We start from the raw sequence: 17,725 nt of genomic DNA, 5'->3' as shown, positions 1-17,725 counted from the left end.
TGATTACAGGTGTGAGCCACCTGCACCCTGCCCCATTCTGTTTAATTCTTGACCACTCTTTCCCCATATTCTTTTCAGATGCTCAATTGATTGGACAGTGGCCAGTGGGAGACAGCTTAGTCTCAACTAGCAACAAAAATCTGAAAACCTTAATATTAATTAAGGTCAAATGAGGAATCAGCTTTATAGTTCTAGTAATAATTACCTAGTAACTATAGGCAATTGTTATTGCTTATTTTGTACCTATTTAACGTGCTGCGTAGTATCCAAAGAGGTGACTAAAAACTGCTCTCTCTTGAGATGCAGACAATCTTGTTGAATGGACAAGACTCAAGTTTATAAAACTATTGTCATTTTTAAAGTTATTAAGCAGTTTAAAAATGAATAAATGTTATATTGTATGGTACAAACTACAAGTACAGCAAGTATTCAAGTTAGAAAAAATGTATTTCTTGGAAAATATACTCATAGAGTACTTTATTAAACCTGAAGTAAATTATAAGATTCAAATCAGAGAGGTGGGGCAAGAAGGATAGTTCACGCAGGGGCACTTGCACCAGCAGAAGCAAAGAGCTCCATTTCTCAATGATGGCTTTCTCTATTCTTTGGCTTTTTTATACTCCTCTTCTAACACTTCCTTTAGTCTCCAATTTCCACCTCGCCCTGCTTCCATGGGTCAACACACTTCACACTATAACTCTTCCTGAGCAGACTGGCAACCCCATCTCTTAGCTGTGCCTCCTGTTTAGATCTATTAGCTGCCTGACTCTTCAACCACCTCTAGAAGGTCCTAACAGCATCTCCCAAATTATACTGGGATTGAATCTAAGGAAGAACAAACTAACCAATCTCTTTCTCAACAGTTTTCCATCTGCCCCAGAAGAGTCCTTTTTTCAAAGAAATGTCCACAAGGACAGTTCTATTTTAAGAACATTTAAAGATCATGAAGTAATGTTCACATGGAAGCATAGCAGGTGGCTTACATTGGCACAACAATATCATACTTATTTTTTCGAAGAAACAAAGCTTTGCCCTTCTAAATTTTCATAATTAAGATCCCTTTCATCTAGATTTGGCCTTATGAAGTGATCTGTCTGACTCTGCTTTTTCTAGACAGACTAAAAAATGCCTGGAAATGAAAGTACTTTTCCAGCTAAGTGAGTTGCTTTCAGAACTAAAATCCAGGGCTCAAACTTCTAGTACTCTCTCGCCCCACTATACCATAATGTCATCCTTCTCACCAAATAAATATTATAGGAATCTGGAAGGCATCACAATATTTGAATTCATTGCCAACAGAGTATAGATCACACAGATTGCTTTATTTAATCAGTACATCTTAACTGAGCAATTCATTTTGAAGGCAGTAGAAAATAAGTTAACAATTTTTCAAAAATCAAGACAATTCATCTCATGAGAATACTGCTATTATACCAAACATATCATATTGTGGCCAAAGTTATAAAAAAGTCAGACAAGACCATACATGGTTAGGAATGATAAGGTCAGTCATGGTTGGAATACTATCTGGAGCATGATCATCTGAAGTTGAATATGACGATGTTCAACTGATTGGACAGAGGCTCCAATCAGGAAATAGAGTGGTCCACGTTGTCATCAACTATGTGTTCCTTTCTAAATAAAACTCTGAATAAGAACCAAGATAATTTCTAATATTTTACCCCGGCTAACCCCCAACTGAACAATTAATGGCTCTTTGGAGAATGCTGTAATACTAACTCTGCTTTCTATGCAGAGTTCCACGGGGCTTTTTGGCGCAGGAGGCTTTAAGATGTCAGTGCTTCCTAGTTAGAGAAGTTTTGAGTTTCTTGATTGTCATGACGATAAACCCCATTTCCTGCTTTAAAGGAACAATTGCAGCACATCACACAGGTGACACCTGTGCCGCTCAAGTAGCTATAAATTTAAATGCTAGAATCTTGTTCTATTTGCTTCTCATTTTAAGGAAGAGAGTGCATTTCTGAATCTGGGCAAGAGAACAATTTTAAATAGAAGTTGAATTTTACCCTCATATAAGTCTTTGATTTAGGGTTGTTAAAAGACAACCTCAAGGTCCTAAATTTGAAGTTTAATATACAATCTAAAATAGTGACATCACTTTCTAATGCAAGTTGCTTTAAAGATATATATTATTCTCTTTACATAGGGACTAGGATCTTTATTGGTTAGTATTTTTTTTCCTGCAAATTACTATTATGTAGAGAAAGAATTTGAGTTGTGGTAAGACGTAATGTTTAAAGGTAAACATTAAAAGATATAAGACACAATTCATTCATAATAATCATCTTGTTGATGAAGCCAATTTAGAGTATTGGATTACAGTATACTGTTGTCTGAGACAGCAATAGTTTCAATCAAATGACCTAGCCACCCACAGAATGTGGTAGTAAGAACAGAGGGCTTGGCACATAGGTTTTACACAGACCTCTATGGCTCTGACCTCGGGCTTGTCATTTGGACCACTCTAATTCTGTGTCCTCCTTTGAAAAGTGAATACATAGGACTGAATTTTTTAAAACGTCAGTTTAAAAAATTATAGTAAAATACACGTAAAAATAAATGTACTATCTTAACCATACTGAAGTGTGGTTCAGTGGCATTATTATTGTGCAACAATATTGTTATGCAACCACCCCACCACCCATCCACAGAACTCTTTTCATCTACCAAAATTGAATTTCATACTCATTAAACAATAGCTCCTCATTCCCTCTCCCCACAATTCCTGGCAACCATTATTCTAATTTCTGTCTCCATAACTTTGACAACTCAGGCACCTCATATAAGCAGAATCGTACAGTATTTGTGCTTTTGTGGCTGGCTTCTTTTGTTTAGCATAATGTCCTCAGGGTTCCTCCATGTTGCAGTATGTGTCAGAATTTCCTTCATTTTTAAAACTGAATAATGTTCCATGGAATGTATACATCACATTTTCTTCATCCATTGATAGGCACTTGGGCTGCATCCACATTTTGGCTATTGTGAATAATGCTGCTATGAACATGGGTGTGCAAGTATCCGTTTGAGTCTCAGCTTTCAATTCTTTGGGGTATATTCCCAGAAGCAGAATTGCTGGCTTGTGTCATAATTCTATTTTTAATTTTTAGAGGAACCATTATACTTTTTTTTTTCCATAGCACCTGCACAATTTTAACTTTACAGGACTGGATATTTTTAAATGTCCTTTCCATGTCTAGAGTTCTAGGACCCAGTACTTGTTTTTCAAATAACCTCTTTAAGTCATTTCCTCGTTAGCTGGAAATCCTGCTCACCATGGAAAAACACTGGGATGTCTTTTACTTCAGAAAGCCTTCATTTGGGTTTAGTCCCCTCCCAGCCCCTTATTTACAAGTGGCAAGCCCTAATCATGTTTTTAATTTATTTCTTGTTTTCCTATAAGACATCAGCTCCTGGAAGCAAAGATTATGTATTATTCTTCAATATCTCCACGGTGCTTGACACAGAATAATCAAACAGCAAATGTCTGATCAATGCATAGGTGGGAACAAAACAGGGTCAACTATTTCCAGATGAAGAATTGAAAAAATGATTAAACATAGTAAAATTAGAGAACATTTTTTCTCCTAATGCAAAATATTTTCCTGGAGAGGCTGGAATTCAAATAATCAAAATGATAAGCATGATAATAAAAATGCCTAACTAGGGCTATCCCAACCATCAGCCAGGGCGGAATCTTTCCACCTGGGCCCTGGTGGGACACCTAACCTAACATTCTTGCTCCTGCTGGCTGGCATTCCCAGAGGATGGGCTATACATGGTGTTTGATGCCCATCAACATGGAAGTGCAGAAGAGACATTCAATGCCCGTCCATGGAAGAGCGAAGAGGGGCATTCTCCAAGCACCCCCATTCGCTAATACAGTGAACTCTTTGATGCTGGAAGAGATCTTGAAGTTCAACGGTTCGGGAGGCGCTAGTATACTGGACGATGTGGCTGAGGTTCAGAGAAGAGAAAAGGCGAATCCTAAGTTATGTAGCAAGAAGGCAACCTACTCCCTAGATCTGGAGATACAGACAAACGCTCTTTGCAGGGATAGAAACTATTTTTAAGCCACCTTGCTAAGCGCTGGAGGGCAGGGTTGTAATTGGATACAGGGAAATGACAACGCTTCAGTAAGTCGCCTCCATCCCACGCTAAATAAGAGGCACTGGACGCCTGGGCGACAGAGCGAGACTCCTTCTCAAAAGAAAAAAAAAAAAAAGAGGCACTGGGCTGTAGGAGAGTGGTGAAATTTCTGGACCAAGACAAGGCGGCCACAACCCTCCTGGGGCAACAACCCTCCCGCCGGGCTGGTTTTTTGGAACCTCTGCAAACACTTTCTCCTGGGTCAGTTTCCCGCCAAACCGGGATGGAGGATGTCCAGAGGTCCCGGGAGTGGAAGCCGCTGTCCCTGTGTCTACTGGGAAGTGGGCGAGGCGGGATGCTGCTGGCCAGGCTGCTCGGGGCGAGGACCCGAGAACACGCACTTGCTCGCTGGGCCTCGGAGGGGTGGGAGGGGCGGGGCGGTGCGCAGCCTCCCCGGGACAGGTCTGCGGTCCGGGACCAACTAGGCTGCACAGGCACGCTGGGCGCATGTCCGCCTCGCCGGGGCTGCCAGGTGAGCCGCGCGTGATCGGGGAGCGGGGCCCACCGGCCGGAGGGAGCGGGTATAGGGGACCCTGCCCTGACCCGGAGGGAGACGGGAGGTGCCCGAGGAGCAGGGGAAAGAGCACCCCCGCACGTCCCTGCAGCAGGCAGGGTCGGACGGAGCAGCGCCCCCTTCTTCTCTGGAGGCAGCAGGAGCACCCCAGATCCTGTGGCGGGAGGCGAAGTTTCATTTTAGGGAACAAAAAGCCCAGGGCGAGAAGACATTTGACTTGGAGAGAACTGGGGGAGTTAGGGATCTCTGATTTCATCTCACACTTTTTTTCACACCCAAGTGAGGGGTCTGGGAGGTGGGCAGGGAGAGTGCTTAGGAGACAAACAGAGTTAATCCCTCACCCCATTGATCACCGCCCTGCTGAATGTTCTCAAAGCTCACCCTGCATCGTGGTGGACTGTGTGGTGTTGGAAACGACCAAAGACTCTGCCCCACCCCCACCCCCAACAAGCGAGGAAAATGTTTCCCCTGAAATGTCTTTCTTCTCTGTCTTGTTTTTTGTTTCGTTGCTATGGATTCGTGAACTAGCTTGTAATGGTCTCTAAACCTCTAACTTGTATGTATAATATTTGCGTGTCCATGCATGCATTTTTCTGAAGCGAGCTCTCAGAAGTTGTATTTGTTTCTCCCGAAGAATAAATAGGCAAAACCATATCTTTGGGCTGCATCAACATGACCTCTTAATAGTCTTCAGGGAAACTGAGTTGCAGATTCTTATTTAACGAATTGGGGATTGGCCGGGTGTGTGGCTCACGTCTGTAATCCCAGCACTTTGGGAGGCTGAGGCAGGTGGATCACCTGAGGTCAGTAGTTCGAGACCAGCCTGGCCAACAGGCTGGTGAAACCCTGTCTCTATACAAATACAAAAAATTAGCCAGACGTGGTGGAACGGGCCTGTAATCCCAGCCACTCCGAGGCTGAGGCAGGAGGATCCCTTGAACCCAGGAGGTGGAGGTTGAAGTGCGCCAAGATCATGGCCACTGCACTCCAGTCTGGGCGACAGAGCAAGATTTCGTCTCCAAAACAACAACAACAATAATAACACAAACAAACAAAAAACAATAAAGTGGGGATTGAGGGAAGAGCCTTGAGGCTCCCAGAAGGGTTGGGGAGAAAGATTCCTTCAGGGACCAGGGAGGACAGCACTTACCCAGTCACAAATTTACCTGTTTTAAGAATTGGTCTCTTTTCCACCAGTATGAAGTACAATTAGTTTTCAAATATGTAGACTGGGAAATCGAAGTAAGTCTTTGTGAATGAAAGGTCTACTTAAGTTTCTTTTTGACAACCCAAAGTGACCCCAGCTTTGGAGCTTCCAAGGACTCTGGAGAGAAGGTAACAGATTAAGTGTTCCAACTGTGCACCTCCCTCGTCCATTGGCATCTTGGGAAAAGGAGGAAAGAACCAACTGTGACCTCAGCATGGGAGCAGAACCAGAAAAACCCAGGGAGTCTGGGGGAGAGGGAGGAGAGCAGGGAGAGGTACAGGCATTGTTGGATAATGAGCTTAACTTATCCAACAAAGCTGATCTGCAAAACCAACAGGCACCTTAGGAAAATCACATTTCATCATTAATCCCACTTTCTTTGTTCCCAAATAGGCAAGAGTACTCTGTGGAGGTGAAGTAGTATCTGCTGCCACTTAACTGGATAGCATTTCTGATCCTGCCTTCTTTACCCACAGAATCTTGGAATCCCAATCCGTGAGGTTCCTGGGTGTGCTGGCATCAGGACAGCGGTCCACGAACGGTGTGTTACCCAAATATTGACATCCTGCAGCTAGCCTCAAACAATCACAGCTACTTTCCAATTTCAGAGAAAAAAAGGCTAAAATTGTAAGCTTTTTCTTAACAATTTTTTTATTTCTTAATTTTTGTGGATACATAGCAGGTATATATAATTATGGGGTACATGAGATATTTTGATACAGGCATGCAATGTGAAATAAGCACATCATAGAGAATGGGGTATCCATCCACTCGAGCATGCATCCTTTGTGTTATTAATACAAACAATCCACTTACCTTCTTTATTTAAAAATGTGCAATTAAGTTATTATGACTATGGTCACCCCATTGTGCCATCAAATAGTAGGTCTTATTCATTCTTTCTACCTTTCTTTTTTTTTTTGTACACATTAGCCATCCCCTCCACCAGTCCCCCACTACTCTTCCCAGCTTCTGGTAACCATCCTTCTACTCTCTATGCCCATGAGTTCAGTTGTTTTGATTTTTAGATCCCATGAATGAGTGAGAACATGCAATGTTTGTCTTTCCATGCCTGGCTTTTTTCACTTCCCATAATGACCTCCAGTTCTACCCATGAGGTTGCAAATGACAGGATCTCATTCTTTTTTATGGCTGAATAGTACTCCACCATGTATAAGTACCACATTTTCTTTATCCATTCATCTGTGGATGGACACTTAGGTTGCTTCCAAATCTTGGCTACTGTGAACAGGGCTGCAACAAACATGGGAATGCGGATAGCTCTTTGATATACTGATTTCCTTTCTTTTGGGTATATACTCAGCAGTGGAAATGCTGGATCATATGGTAGCTCAGTTTTTAGTTTGCTGAGGAACCTCCAAACTGTTCTCCATAGTGATTGTACTAAAATTATAAGCTTTTTCTTCACAAGTTTATTCCAACCTTTGATGCTGGCTTTTATTCATGCTGAACCTAGCTTAGTTCACACTTATATTTTTGGTTATGTTAAAGCTGAATACATCATTATTTCTTGCTTGCAAAGAACCCATTGGTTTCAAGTGATTTGTAACCTCCTCACGTTTGAGAACTACTGTTGTAGAAAGAGAAGGGAATATACCCAGGGTTGTGCCACATTTGTCTTTAATGTCCTTTGAGTTGAAATGATTTGTTTGTGGACCATCTGGTGTTCTGAGTTGTGGCAGTGAATTGCACTGGGCCCTGAAGCTAGGGAGGAAAGAAACAGCTTCATCCTACCTGCTCACAGCCCAGACCGGTTTTTTGTGTGCTGTTGTTAACATCACACGTATTTTGTAAACTCATACTTTTATGAGGTTTTATGGAACACAGATTAAGCTTCCTAGTCAACCCCTCCACCCTTACAATTGGCTAGTCAGTCTTCATTCAATCTGAATTGAACTATTGTTTTTCAGAACAATAAGGCAGTTGTTTCTACCTATAACCCATCTTTTCTTCATAGAATTATTGTTTAAAATGGTCTCCATAACATGGCTAAGGGTTTATTTGGCAATGACAGGAATTGTAATTTTGCTTCCTACTTTAAAAGTCATGAAAGATCTAAGCTTGCTTTTTTTTTTTTTTTTGAAAGAGTCTTGCTGTGTCACTCAGGCTGTAGTACAGTGGCTCAATCTCGGCTTACTGCAGCCTACACCTCCCAGGTTCAAGCGATTCTCGTGCCTCAGCCTCCCAAGTAGCTGGGACTATAGGCATGGGCCACCACACCCAGCTACGTTTTTTTTTGTATTTTTAATAGAGACGGAGTTTTGCAATGCTGGCCAGGCAGGTCTCGAACTCCTGACCTTGGGCGATCCGCCTGCCTCAGCCTCCCAAAGTGCTGAGGTTACAGGCTTGAGCCACTGTGCCTGGCCTAAGAACCAAGCTTTTTTTTAGAATGATAGTTGCCCCTTCAGTAGCCCTTCAGTACCATATAAGTTTTGCTGATGTTACTGGTTGTTCTTTAATGCATTCAGCAAATATTAATATTTACTGCACACCTTCCATGTGCCAGCCCCTGGGGTATGAGGTGACTTGTGTTTTTCTTTCAAGGAGCTGACAAATAAGCAGCTTGGACTTGAATTCCCTCCCCTTCTCTTCCTCTCACGTCTCTGTTGAGGCAAATCCCAATTGGAATGAAATAACTCTGGAGAATTATTTTGGGCGTTACTAAAACTATCTTTACTTCTTTGCTCCAGAAGCAACATTAGCTACTTAGTGGCCTCTTGACATAATCTAAGAACTGTCTTTGGGACGTGCTGCTTCTGGGACTCCTTGGCTGTGACCATTTTCTTTCAAGTTTAAGTGACTTCCTGCTCCTTATGCATGAGTCCATTTAAGACATTCTGCCAAGGGAGAAGCCATCCACTGTGGTTGCCTGGCTTCAGAGCACTCTCACTGGTCAGCAGTCCCTGACTCCTATGACCTCCAGTGCTGTGTAGATGATAGTTTCATGAATAGCACTTTTAACATCTATGTTGCATTAGGTATTATAAGTAATCTAGAGATGATTTACAGGAGGATGGGCATAGGTTAAGTGTAAATACCATACCATTTTATTTTTATATCAGTGACGTGAGCATCTGCAGATTTTGGTATCCTTGGGGGTCTGGGAACCAATGCACTGCAGATACTAAGGGACAACTCTACAGTGTTTGATTTATTGAGCTTTCTGAGATATTCAGCCTTTTCCTGTCTTCACACTTGTTTTTCCCTCTATTATTTAGGGTAATCCTGATGAAAATCAACAAAATACACATGAAGAGACAGCACTGAGAGGTAATGTGCTAACTGGTCTTTGTGATTACAGGCACTTCAGATTTCCCTCTTGCCTACTCATTGTGAGATGCAGCCCAGCCCTGCAACAAGACTGCCACAGTCGTATCCTGGCTCACCCCTAACTAGCGGTTTGACTTTGAGCACATCACTGCCTCCTCCGTGCCTCAGTTTCCTCTTCTGTTGAATGGGGATGATCACAGCACTACCTCACCATTTGTTGTGAGGATTAAATAGATTCAAATATGTAAGACACTTACAGTAATGCTTTGTACACAGAAGGCACTATTATTTTTTATTAATCCCTATTTTTCCTTCCCAACTTCATCTCCCAATATCCCATAACCATGCTGATTTCCTTACAACTCCCCCAGACCTCCTGGACTAAGTGAGATTTGGAAGAGTATACTCAGGGCAGTCAAGAAGGACTGATTCTGCTAATTTAGGATTTGTCAAGTTGGGTTAGTTTGAAATATACCTCTGTACTCCTCTCAGGAAATGCTGGATAGTGTAGATTTAGTATCAGATAATAGTAATAATGGTGGCAGACTCTGATGTTTCCTCCTTCCCTTGTGATCTCAGTAGTCTTGTACCATTCATACATCAAATGACTTAGCAACTAACAATCACGTAATATTTTTTAAGCTTTTCTTATGTGCCCAGTAGTGAGCCAAGAGTTTTTTTTCCTATTTTTAACATACTATTGACAGCTCCATGAGGTGGGTTTATATTTTGTTAAAATAATTTGCCATGTCCACTTCCCCAGTAGACTGTGACAGTGGCATATACATCTGTGTGTGTTATTCAGTTTGTATCTCTAGGACTTGACAGAGGACCCAATACAGAGTGGGTGCTCCAGAAATGTGGACTTGGATGCATTTCACCAACAGCTATTTACATCCAAATAATAAGCTAATTATAACTCTTCTTCTAGATGTACTTTTCTCATTGCAAAAATTCACCGTCAAAATTTTTAAAAACACTAATAAGCAAGAAGAAGGAAGTTAAAATTGCACTCCTTCCAGCCCTAGAGAGCTTAATCAACTTGCTTAGGAACACGCTACTAAATGGCTAATCTGAGCACCAAAATCTGGCCATCTGGCTTCAGGGCTCAGCCTCCTAATGGCCGCATTATACCATTGATCCCGCCCCATCCACCCCAACACACACACTCCCCTGCACAAACAAATTATGTTAGCTATTAAAAGGAATTGGAAGAGTGGAAATGTGCAATTAAATCTACCACAAATACAATGTTGCAATACGTGCAATCTATATTTTTAAAATTTACAGTATTCAGCATTTTCCTGTCTTCACACTTGTTCCCTCCGTTATTTACGGCAATCATGACGAAAATCAACAAAATACAGATTGAGAGGCAGCACTGAGAGGTAATGTAGAAAGGGAATGGCTTTTGAGTCAGAAAAATGCGAGTGTGGATCCCAGCTAAGCCCCTAGATGTGTTACCAGAGACGAGCCGCAAAACATTTCTCAGTCTTAGTCTCTTGTAAAATAGAGGTAATAAGAAACACTTTTCAGTATTTTGTGACATGTAGAAGTAAGTGATGGTGGCATGCATCACACTTGGTTAATAGTAGGTCCTGTTGTTAAGTCTCTAATGGCGATACCCTATGGCTTCTCCAAATGGTGACCTTGCCAAATTGTTTTCCAAAGCGACATGTGGCTTTTTTCTCCCAATCCCTCATTTTAACTCTCATGGTAATTTAACTTTTATATTTTTATTAGATGCATTTAGTAACTTGCCTCATAGTCATTTTCTTGGAAATTCAATTTCTTCTCCACAGGGTCTCTTTTGAGATTAAAGAGAGAGAAGTGGCAAATTTAGGATGTTAGAATAATTTTCATTTAAAAGTAGATCCTTGTTTTTATTACCCTATCATTAATGTTTTCTGTTTTCCTTTATCAGCGAGTTACTGCTCATTTGATTCATATTGCCAAACTGAACTCTCTTGTTTTCTTGCAAGATGAAAGGAGACAACCATGAATGAGCCACTAGACTATTTAGCAAATGCTTCTGATTTCCCCGATTATGCAGCTGCTTTTGGAAATTGCACTGATGAAAACATCCCACTCAAGATGCACTACCTCCCTGTTATTTATGGCATTATCTTCCTCGTGGGATTTCCAGGCAATGCAGTAGTGATATCCACTTACATTTTCAAAATGAGACCTTGGAAGAGCAGCACCATCATTATGCTGAACCTGGCCTGCACAGATCTGCTGTATCTGACCAGCCTCCCCTTCCTGATTCACTACTATGCCAGTGGCGAAAACTGGATCTTTGGAGATTTCATGTGTAAGTTTATCCGCTTCAGCTTCCATTTCAACCTGTATAGCAGCATCCTCTTCCTCACCTGTTTCAGCATCTTCCGCTACTGTGTGATCATTCACCCAATGAGCTGCTTTTCCATTCACAAAACTCGATGTGCAGTTGTAGCCTGTGCTGTGGTGTGGATCATTTCACTGGTAGCTGTCATTCCGATGACCTTCTTGATCACATCAACCAACAGGACCAACAGATCAGCCTGTCTCGACCTCACCAGTTCGGATGAACTCAATACTATTAAGTGGTACAACCTGATTTTGACTGCAACTACTTTCTGCCTCCCCTTGGTGATAGTGACACTTTGCTATACCACGATTATCCACACTCTGACCCATGGACTGCAAACTGACAGCTGCCTTAAGCAGAAAGCACGAAGGCTAACCATTCTGCTACTCCTTGCATTTTACGTATGTTTTTTACCCTTCCATATCTTGAGGGTCATTCGGATCGAATCTCGCCTGCTTTCAATCAGTTGTTCCATTGAGAATCAGATCCATGAAGCTTACATCGTTTCTAGACCATTAGCTGCTCTGAACACCTTTGGTAACCTGTTACTATATGTGGTGGTCAGCGACAACTTTCAGCAGGCTGTCTGCTCAACAGTGAGATGCAAAGTAAGCGGGAACCTTGAGCAAGCAAAGAAAATTAGTTACTCAAACAACCCTTGAAATATTTCATTTACTTAACCAAAAACAAATACTTGCTGATACTTTACCTAGCATCCTAAGATGTTCAGGATGTCTCCCTCAATGGAACTCCTGGTAAATACTGTGTATTCAAGTAATCATGTGCCAAAGCCAGGGCAGAGCTTCTAGTTCTTTGCAATCCCTTTATTGAGCTCCTCCACTGGGGAGATATAAGAATGGGATGCATGTATATCAGCAAAGTATTCAGACATAGTATTACAAGCTATTGGAACTCAGAGGCATCTTAGAGAACATCTGTTCCCACCAACTTACTATATATACACGGAAACCAATTTCTTACCCTTGCCCTAGATTGCTCAGTAAATTTGTGCCAAGATAGGAGAAAACCAATCTTTTCACTCATCATTTCATGCTTCTCTGCACTCTGGGCCTATTTGTATTGAACCATTAGACAATTCAAACCACTACTTGTATCTTTCTTAATATTTATTTTTTACATCTCAGAGCTCTACAATTTGTTTCCTTCAAGCTTAACTTTGAGATTATAAAACTGGGTTTAGCCAGTTCTGTATATTACTTCAAGCCAGTAAGATACCCTTGAAATAATCCAAGGACGTCCATGCAAATAGTTGAAATTAGTACCTGCAATATATTTGGAGTATTATGTCTTTATTGTTGTTAAAAAGTTTTTATTGAATGTATGAAAATTATCAAATTGTATTCATCATTATTAACATGTCCTGGGGAAGGAAGGGAAACTTTCTAGGACAGAAGTCACTTTCAGATGTCATGTATGTATTGGGTGTTCAATCATATCTAACACTGTTTTGATTTTTGTGGGAAAATATTCCAGGAAACGCTAATTCTCTTTAGACTCCTTGTTCTTTTATGACTACAATGAACATATGTCTATGTGATAGCTAAAGATATTTTTGAATTGTATGTGTGCTTAATTATCGGTAAGTATAAATATTTGAGAAAACACATGGTCTGGATATTTAAAACCCTCATAAACATGTTGGTACAGTTAATAAACTTATTTATAATTATGTAATAGGCTGTTTGGTCATATTTTTCTGTGAAAATGCAGTTTTATCACTATTATATTTACATGAAACTTATTTGCTCTATGGTTAGGAACAAAAATAAGTTAAGAATCAATAATATTATAGAATAAGGCAGAAATAGTTGACTTACACAGAGGGAAGGGTACCATAGAAATTCTTCCTGATGTTCCAGTTCTTCTAGGACATGACATCTGACTTAGACTTAAGTGAGGATATTCATCAGGAACCTCTTCAGAGCAAGTTGAGAGAAGGAAGAGCAAGCCGATGGATCTGAACATGAAGTTTTCTGGACAATGGTGCTTTTTGCAATCCCTACCTTCTGAGCCATCTTCTTCTGAGCCTTTCTATAACATGTGGAATAAGCTATTTCACTAGAGGACCCCAATTTGCTCATCTGCCCTGGCTGTACAGCATCGAGAAGTATTCAGAGGTCCACCTGGAACTGCTAGCTCTTTTTCTTTTCCCCGATGCCTAGCCCAGCCCCTGGGCTATCACTAAAGTGCAGACAGACTTGCCTGTATTCCACTGCTGTCGTTATTCTAGCCTTGGGCACAAACCCCTTTTCTTTCTCTCCTCATCTTTATTCCTTCTTATTCCAAAGAGTTGGCAGGGTGCAGTGGCTCACGCCTGTAATCTCAACACTTTGGGAGGCCGAGGCGGGCGGATCACGAGGTCTGGAGATGGAGACCATCCTGGCTAACATGGTGAAACCCTGTCTCAAAAAATTACAAAAAATTAGCCGGGCGTGGTGGCGGGCGCTGGTAGTCCCAGCTACTCAGGAGACTGAGGCAGGAGAATGGCGTAAACCGGGGAGGCGGAGCTTGCAGTGAGCCGAGATGGCGCCACTGCACTCCAGGCTGAGCGACAGAGCGAGACTCCGTCTCAAAAAAAAAAAAAAAAAAAAGAGTTTACCCACCAGAGAAAAGCCACTTCAACATCCTTCATGTCTTTCTCAACTCATCTGTGTAGCTTCTTTTATTTTTTACCTTCTTCCTACCAATGTACAGAAAAACAAATCATCCTTCTGGCAGGAATTCTTGCACTTTATCTCTGGTCTTTATTTTGCTCTCTTAGGGACCTTGCTCCAACACTTAATCTCACTTTCTCACGTTTTTAATATTTTTATTACCCTGGATAATTGACCTCAGCTTGGAAGCATGCATAATTTTCCATTATCCGAAAAATGCCTCCCCTTGATTAAGCTTTTATGTCGTTCTGTTACCTAATCTGCTTCCCACAGCTGTGGGTTGGGTGCAGATGACAGTCTGCCCTCTAGGGTTCTTCCGATAGAACAGAATCACAGAGATCCAAGCTAAATTTAATTCAAAGGATGAGTTTTATTTTACAAAGTTAAGAGTTCTGGGTTATTTGTGCTGAAGGAGGCAGTTTTGAACTGAGGCCAAAAAAAGGGATTGATGATATTTCCCAGGCTAGAATGGGAACTGTGTGACCTTGCTGCATACAACCAGGCCTAGGCAGAGGAAGACAGAATGAGAACAAAAGAGCAGAGCTCTGACTGTGTCCGCCAGGGCACAGCTACTCAGGTCTACTCGCTGTGTGAGAACCGAAAGCGCAAGTCAGGCTCACTGCACCTGCATATGGGGAAGCCAGAAAAACCTGTTCCAAACTTCTGAGACATGGTAATCCCTTGCGTTATTTGTAACTCTTTATTGTGGACATTTTCAAACAGTCACAAAATTTAAAAAGGAGCCAAATGGCCTCATGTAACCCATGTCTTAATTTCATCAATAGCCAACATCCCACCCTTCAGGTTTTATCTCTCTCTTCCCACATCTTTGTTGCTAGAATATTTAAAAGCAAATTCTAGACAACATACAGTTTTACCTACAGATGCTTCAACACAGATTTCTTTCAAAACATACAAAACCAAAACAAAATAATAACTGATTTCTCAATATCATCTAATACTAATCCATGTTTCATTACCCCTGTTTCCCCCCAAAGTATGTTTATACAGTTTTTTTTTTCAAATCAGGATCAAAGGAAGCTCCATGCATTGCATTTGGTTGATATGACTCTTCAATTTATTTTAATCTAAAGGAGCTCCCCTTTTCTTAATTAATTGCCGTTTATTTGCTGAAGAAATCAAGTCAAGTCATTTGTCCTATAGAATTTTTCACATTGCAGGTCCGACTGTTTTAATTCCATTTTGTTATTTATCACATTCCTCCAACCTGCATATTTGCAGTAATTTGGAAGGTAAAGCTATAGGTTAGATTAGATACAGATTATTTGTTGTTATTTCCTTCCCCCTTTCCCTTCCCTTCGTTTCCCTTCCCTTTCTTTCCCTTCCCTTCCTTCCCTGTTTTCTTTCATTCCTTTCTTCCTCCTTCTCACCCCTCCCTCCTTCATTTCTTCTTTCTTTTCTTTTTATAGGAACACTAATTCACCTAGGAAGGTGCTTGTGTCTGACTGTCCTATGCTTAGCAATTGAGCAGGATTTTCAGGACATATTATTCTGATCCTTACATCATAAGTTCCCCATCTTCTCCCCCTTCATAGCTTTATGTTTAGTGTTTTCAGTTGCTCATTTCTATTTTGATCCACTAGGTTACTCATAAAATTCTAACATTCCTCTGCTTTTATTATAGTTTTTCTAGAAAGATCTTTGACCCATCAAAATTTTGTACCCTCCATTCTTAACATAATTCTCACCCATGAATCTTTTTACTCTTTCTTTTCTGGTGAGGCAAAGGAAGCAATGAAAAGGGATGTGGGAGCTGCCTCCTAGTACTTCCTCAATGAGATCATAAGGGTTGACGGAAATTTTGACAGGATTTCCTTTCAATATGGGCCAAGTTTTTGTTCTTTTAACATTTTGCGGTTAACAGCCAATGTTATGAGCCACAAGATTGGAGCTGCCCTCATGAGGGAGGAGATTAACAGAGGAAATTGCCTTACTGTTGCTGTACTTCTCCTCCAAACCCACCCTAGTGTCTTTGTGTACCCTCTTGGATCATGCAAGACATTGACATTTTCCTCCAGAAAGCTCTGAAAAAGACAGAATAAAACACTGATTAACTGCAAGGCCATGTAGCACTTGAGGACTCCTGCTCTAATTTTATTCTTAAATTCTATCCAGCAACATCCTTCTATATAATCTATCTGATATTTTACAATGAGCTCAAATGTTATCAAACAATGTAAGGCAGGTAACATAAAAAATGCCTGAAGCATGTGAGTTCTTTCTATTATTGAGTTCTCAGGAAGAAATTAAATTATAATATGCAATGATCTGTTTTTTAAATTCTATTTCCTGTCTATGCTTCTGTCTGAATATTTTCCATCAATCTATTTCATTTCATTAATCCTACCTTGTACTGCATACAATTTGCCATTAAACTCATCCATTGAATTCTTAATTTCAGAGATTATGTTTTTTCATTTATAGAAGTATATGTGGTTCTTTTTATTAATTCTACTATTTCAGTGAGTTTGGTTGTCTTTCAAATCTATTTTGTCTACCTCTTTCTATATATTCCAGAACTGAATAATCATAGGTATTTTAAAGTTTTCATCTGTCCTTCTAATATCTGAATTACCTTTGGATCTGCTTCTATTGTCTGTCATTTCCTTCATGCCTATTAGTCATGTGATCCTATCTTCTTGCATGTCTATTAATTTTTTATTGAATAACAGAAATTGCATATGGAAAGATCAAAGAGGATCCTTTGATAGGCTTACCTTTTCTTCAGCCATGAAAATAGACTTGGGAATGTATTTCTTTAAATTGTAAATAGAAACCGGACTGGGCTGAGACTAGGTTACAGTTTTGGTGCAATGCAGTTTATCTCTGATTTTCCTTTGTTACTGATAGTTAGAGCTTATTTTACATATATATATATGTATATATATACACACGTATTTGTGTCTAAACATAAGTATATTATATCATATATATTTGCGTTTATATATTTTGTAGACGGTACATGATGAATCCTGTTTCTATCCCAACTAACATCTCTGCCCTTAGCTGGAGTATCTGGTGCACTTATATTTAATGTAAGTATTGATATGGTTAGATTCAAGTCTACTGTCTTGCTATTTTTTAATTTGTCTCTTCTTTTTTGTATCTTTGTTGTTTCTTTTGTGTTTCCTATTAGAAGAATAAAATATTTTTAATATTACTTACTTCCTCTATTGTGGATTCTTAGCTATATTTTTAAATTCTTTTTATTTTATAGTAATTTTCTAGGGCTACAAACATCTTACCTCAAGTATCAAAAATTATTTAGAGTCAATTATGTTTCTTTTTTATTTCACACCTAAATTTTTCCACTCCCTACTGTCATCTTTTCTCTTCTCATTTCATACTTGGTACTTTGTATTTTTCACTTCCCACTTCTTCTATCTTTAAAATATAATAACATTATAACAGTATTATGCCATTTACTCACTCTAACTTCTGTTCTATTGCTGTCAAAACTTGTACTTTTAAATGTGTTATAAACCCCAGTTTACATTGTA

The 17,725-nt window shown here is 40.2% G+C and overlaps 1 protein-coding gene and 1 long non-coding RNA gene across 7 annotated transcripts in view, besides 3 other annotated features; both read left to right on the top strand.

The window, feature by feature from the left end:
• The first annotated feature begins 4,206 nt into the window (after positions 1-4,206).
• OXGR1 (oxoglutarate receptor 1) lies at positions 4,207-13,224 on the top strand. 6 transcript variants are annotated; one of them, XM_047430274.1, is made up of 4 exons: positions 4,207-4,368; positions 6,365-6,429; positions 9,128-9,179; positions 11,162-13,224. In XM_047430274.1, exon 4 carries the CDS (start codon positions 11,178-11,180, stop codon positions 12,189-12,191), a length of 1,014 nt encoding a protein of 337 aa, XP_047286230.1. In that variant the 5' UTR covers positions 4,207-4,368; positions 6,365-6,429; positions 9,128-9,179; positions 11,162-11,177; the 3' UTR covers positions 12,192-13,224. The 6 variants fall into 6 exon arrangements, with proteins under 6 accessions (XP_047286230.1, NP_001333126.1, NP_001333124.1 ...); NM_001346197.2 differs by having other exon boundaries at positions 6,365-6,515; NM_001346195.2 differs by having other exon boundaries at positions 6,365-6,515; positions 11,104-13,224.
• Positions 14,517-14,656: an enhancer, noted in NCBI's record as "active region_7886". NCBI's record gives its function as "activates an Ori minimal core promoter by ATAC-STARR-seq in GM12878 lymphoblastoid cells {active_cell/tissue: GM12878}" and the evidence as "EXISTENCE:reporter gene assay evidence [ECO:0000049][PMID:35858748]".
• Positions 14,707-14,786: an enhancer, noted in NCBI's record as "active region_7885". NCBI's record gives its function as "activates an Ori minimal core promoter by ATAC-STARR-seq in GM12878 lymphoblastoid cells {active_cell/tissue: GM12878}" and the evidence as "EXISTENCE:reporter gene assay evidence [ECO:0000049][PMID:35858748]".
• LINC00359 (long intergenic non-protein coding RNA 359) overlaps positions 14,765-17,725 on the top strand; it is a 42,892-nt gene continuing 39,931 nt past the window's right edge. The window contains exon 1 of the long non-coding RNA NR_051966.1: positions 14,765-14,877. This is a non-coding gene — a long non-coding RNA (long intergenic non-protein coding RNA 359). The remainder of the gene's footprint in view (positions 14,878-17,725) is intronic.
• Positions 14,827-14,876: an enhancer, noted in NCBI's record as "active region_7884". NCBI's record gives its function as "activates an Ori minimal core promoter by ATAC-STARR-seq in GM12878 lymphoblastoid cells {active_cell/tissue: GM12878}" and the evidence as "EXISTENCE:reporter gene assay evidence [ECO:0000049][PMID:35858748]".

Source organism: Homo sapiens, chromosome 13, assembly GCF_000001405.40.
Source record: "Homo sapiens chromosome 13, GRCh38.p14 Primary Assembly".
Lineage (NCBI taxonomy): Eukaryota > Metazoa > Chordata > Mammalia > Primates > Hominidae > Homo > Homo sapiens.
The sequence above is the reverse complement of the archived record's forward strand: the minus strand, read 5'-3'. Positions and strand labels throughout refer to the sequence as shown.

Bases quoted from the DNA above. Each gene is read 5' to 3' on its own strand.
- OXGR1 (XM_047430274.1), top strand. From the start codon at position 11,178: ATGAATGAGCCACTAGACTATTTAGCAAATGCTTCTGATTTCCCCGAT.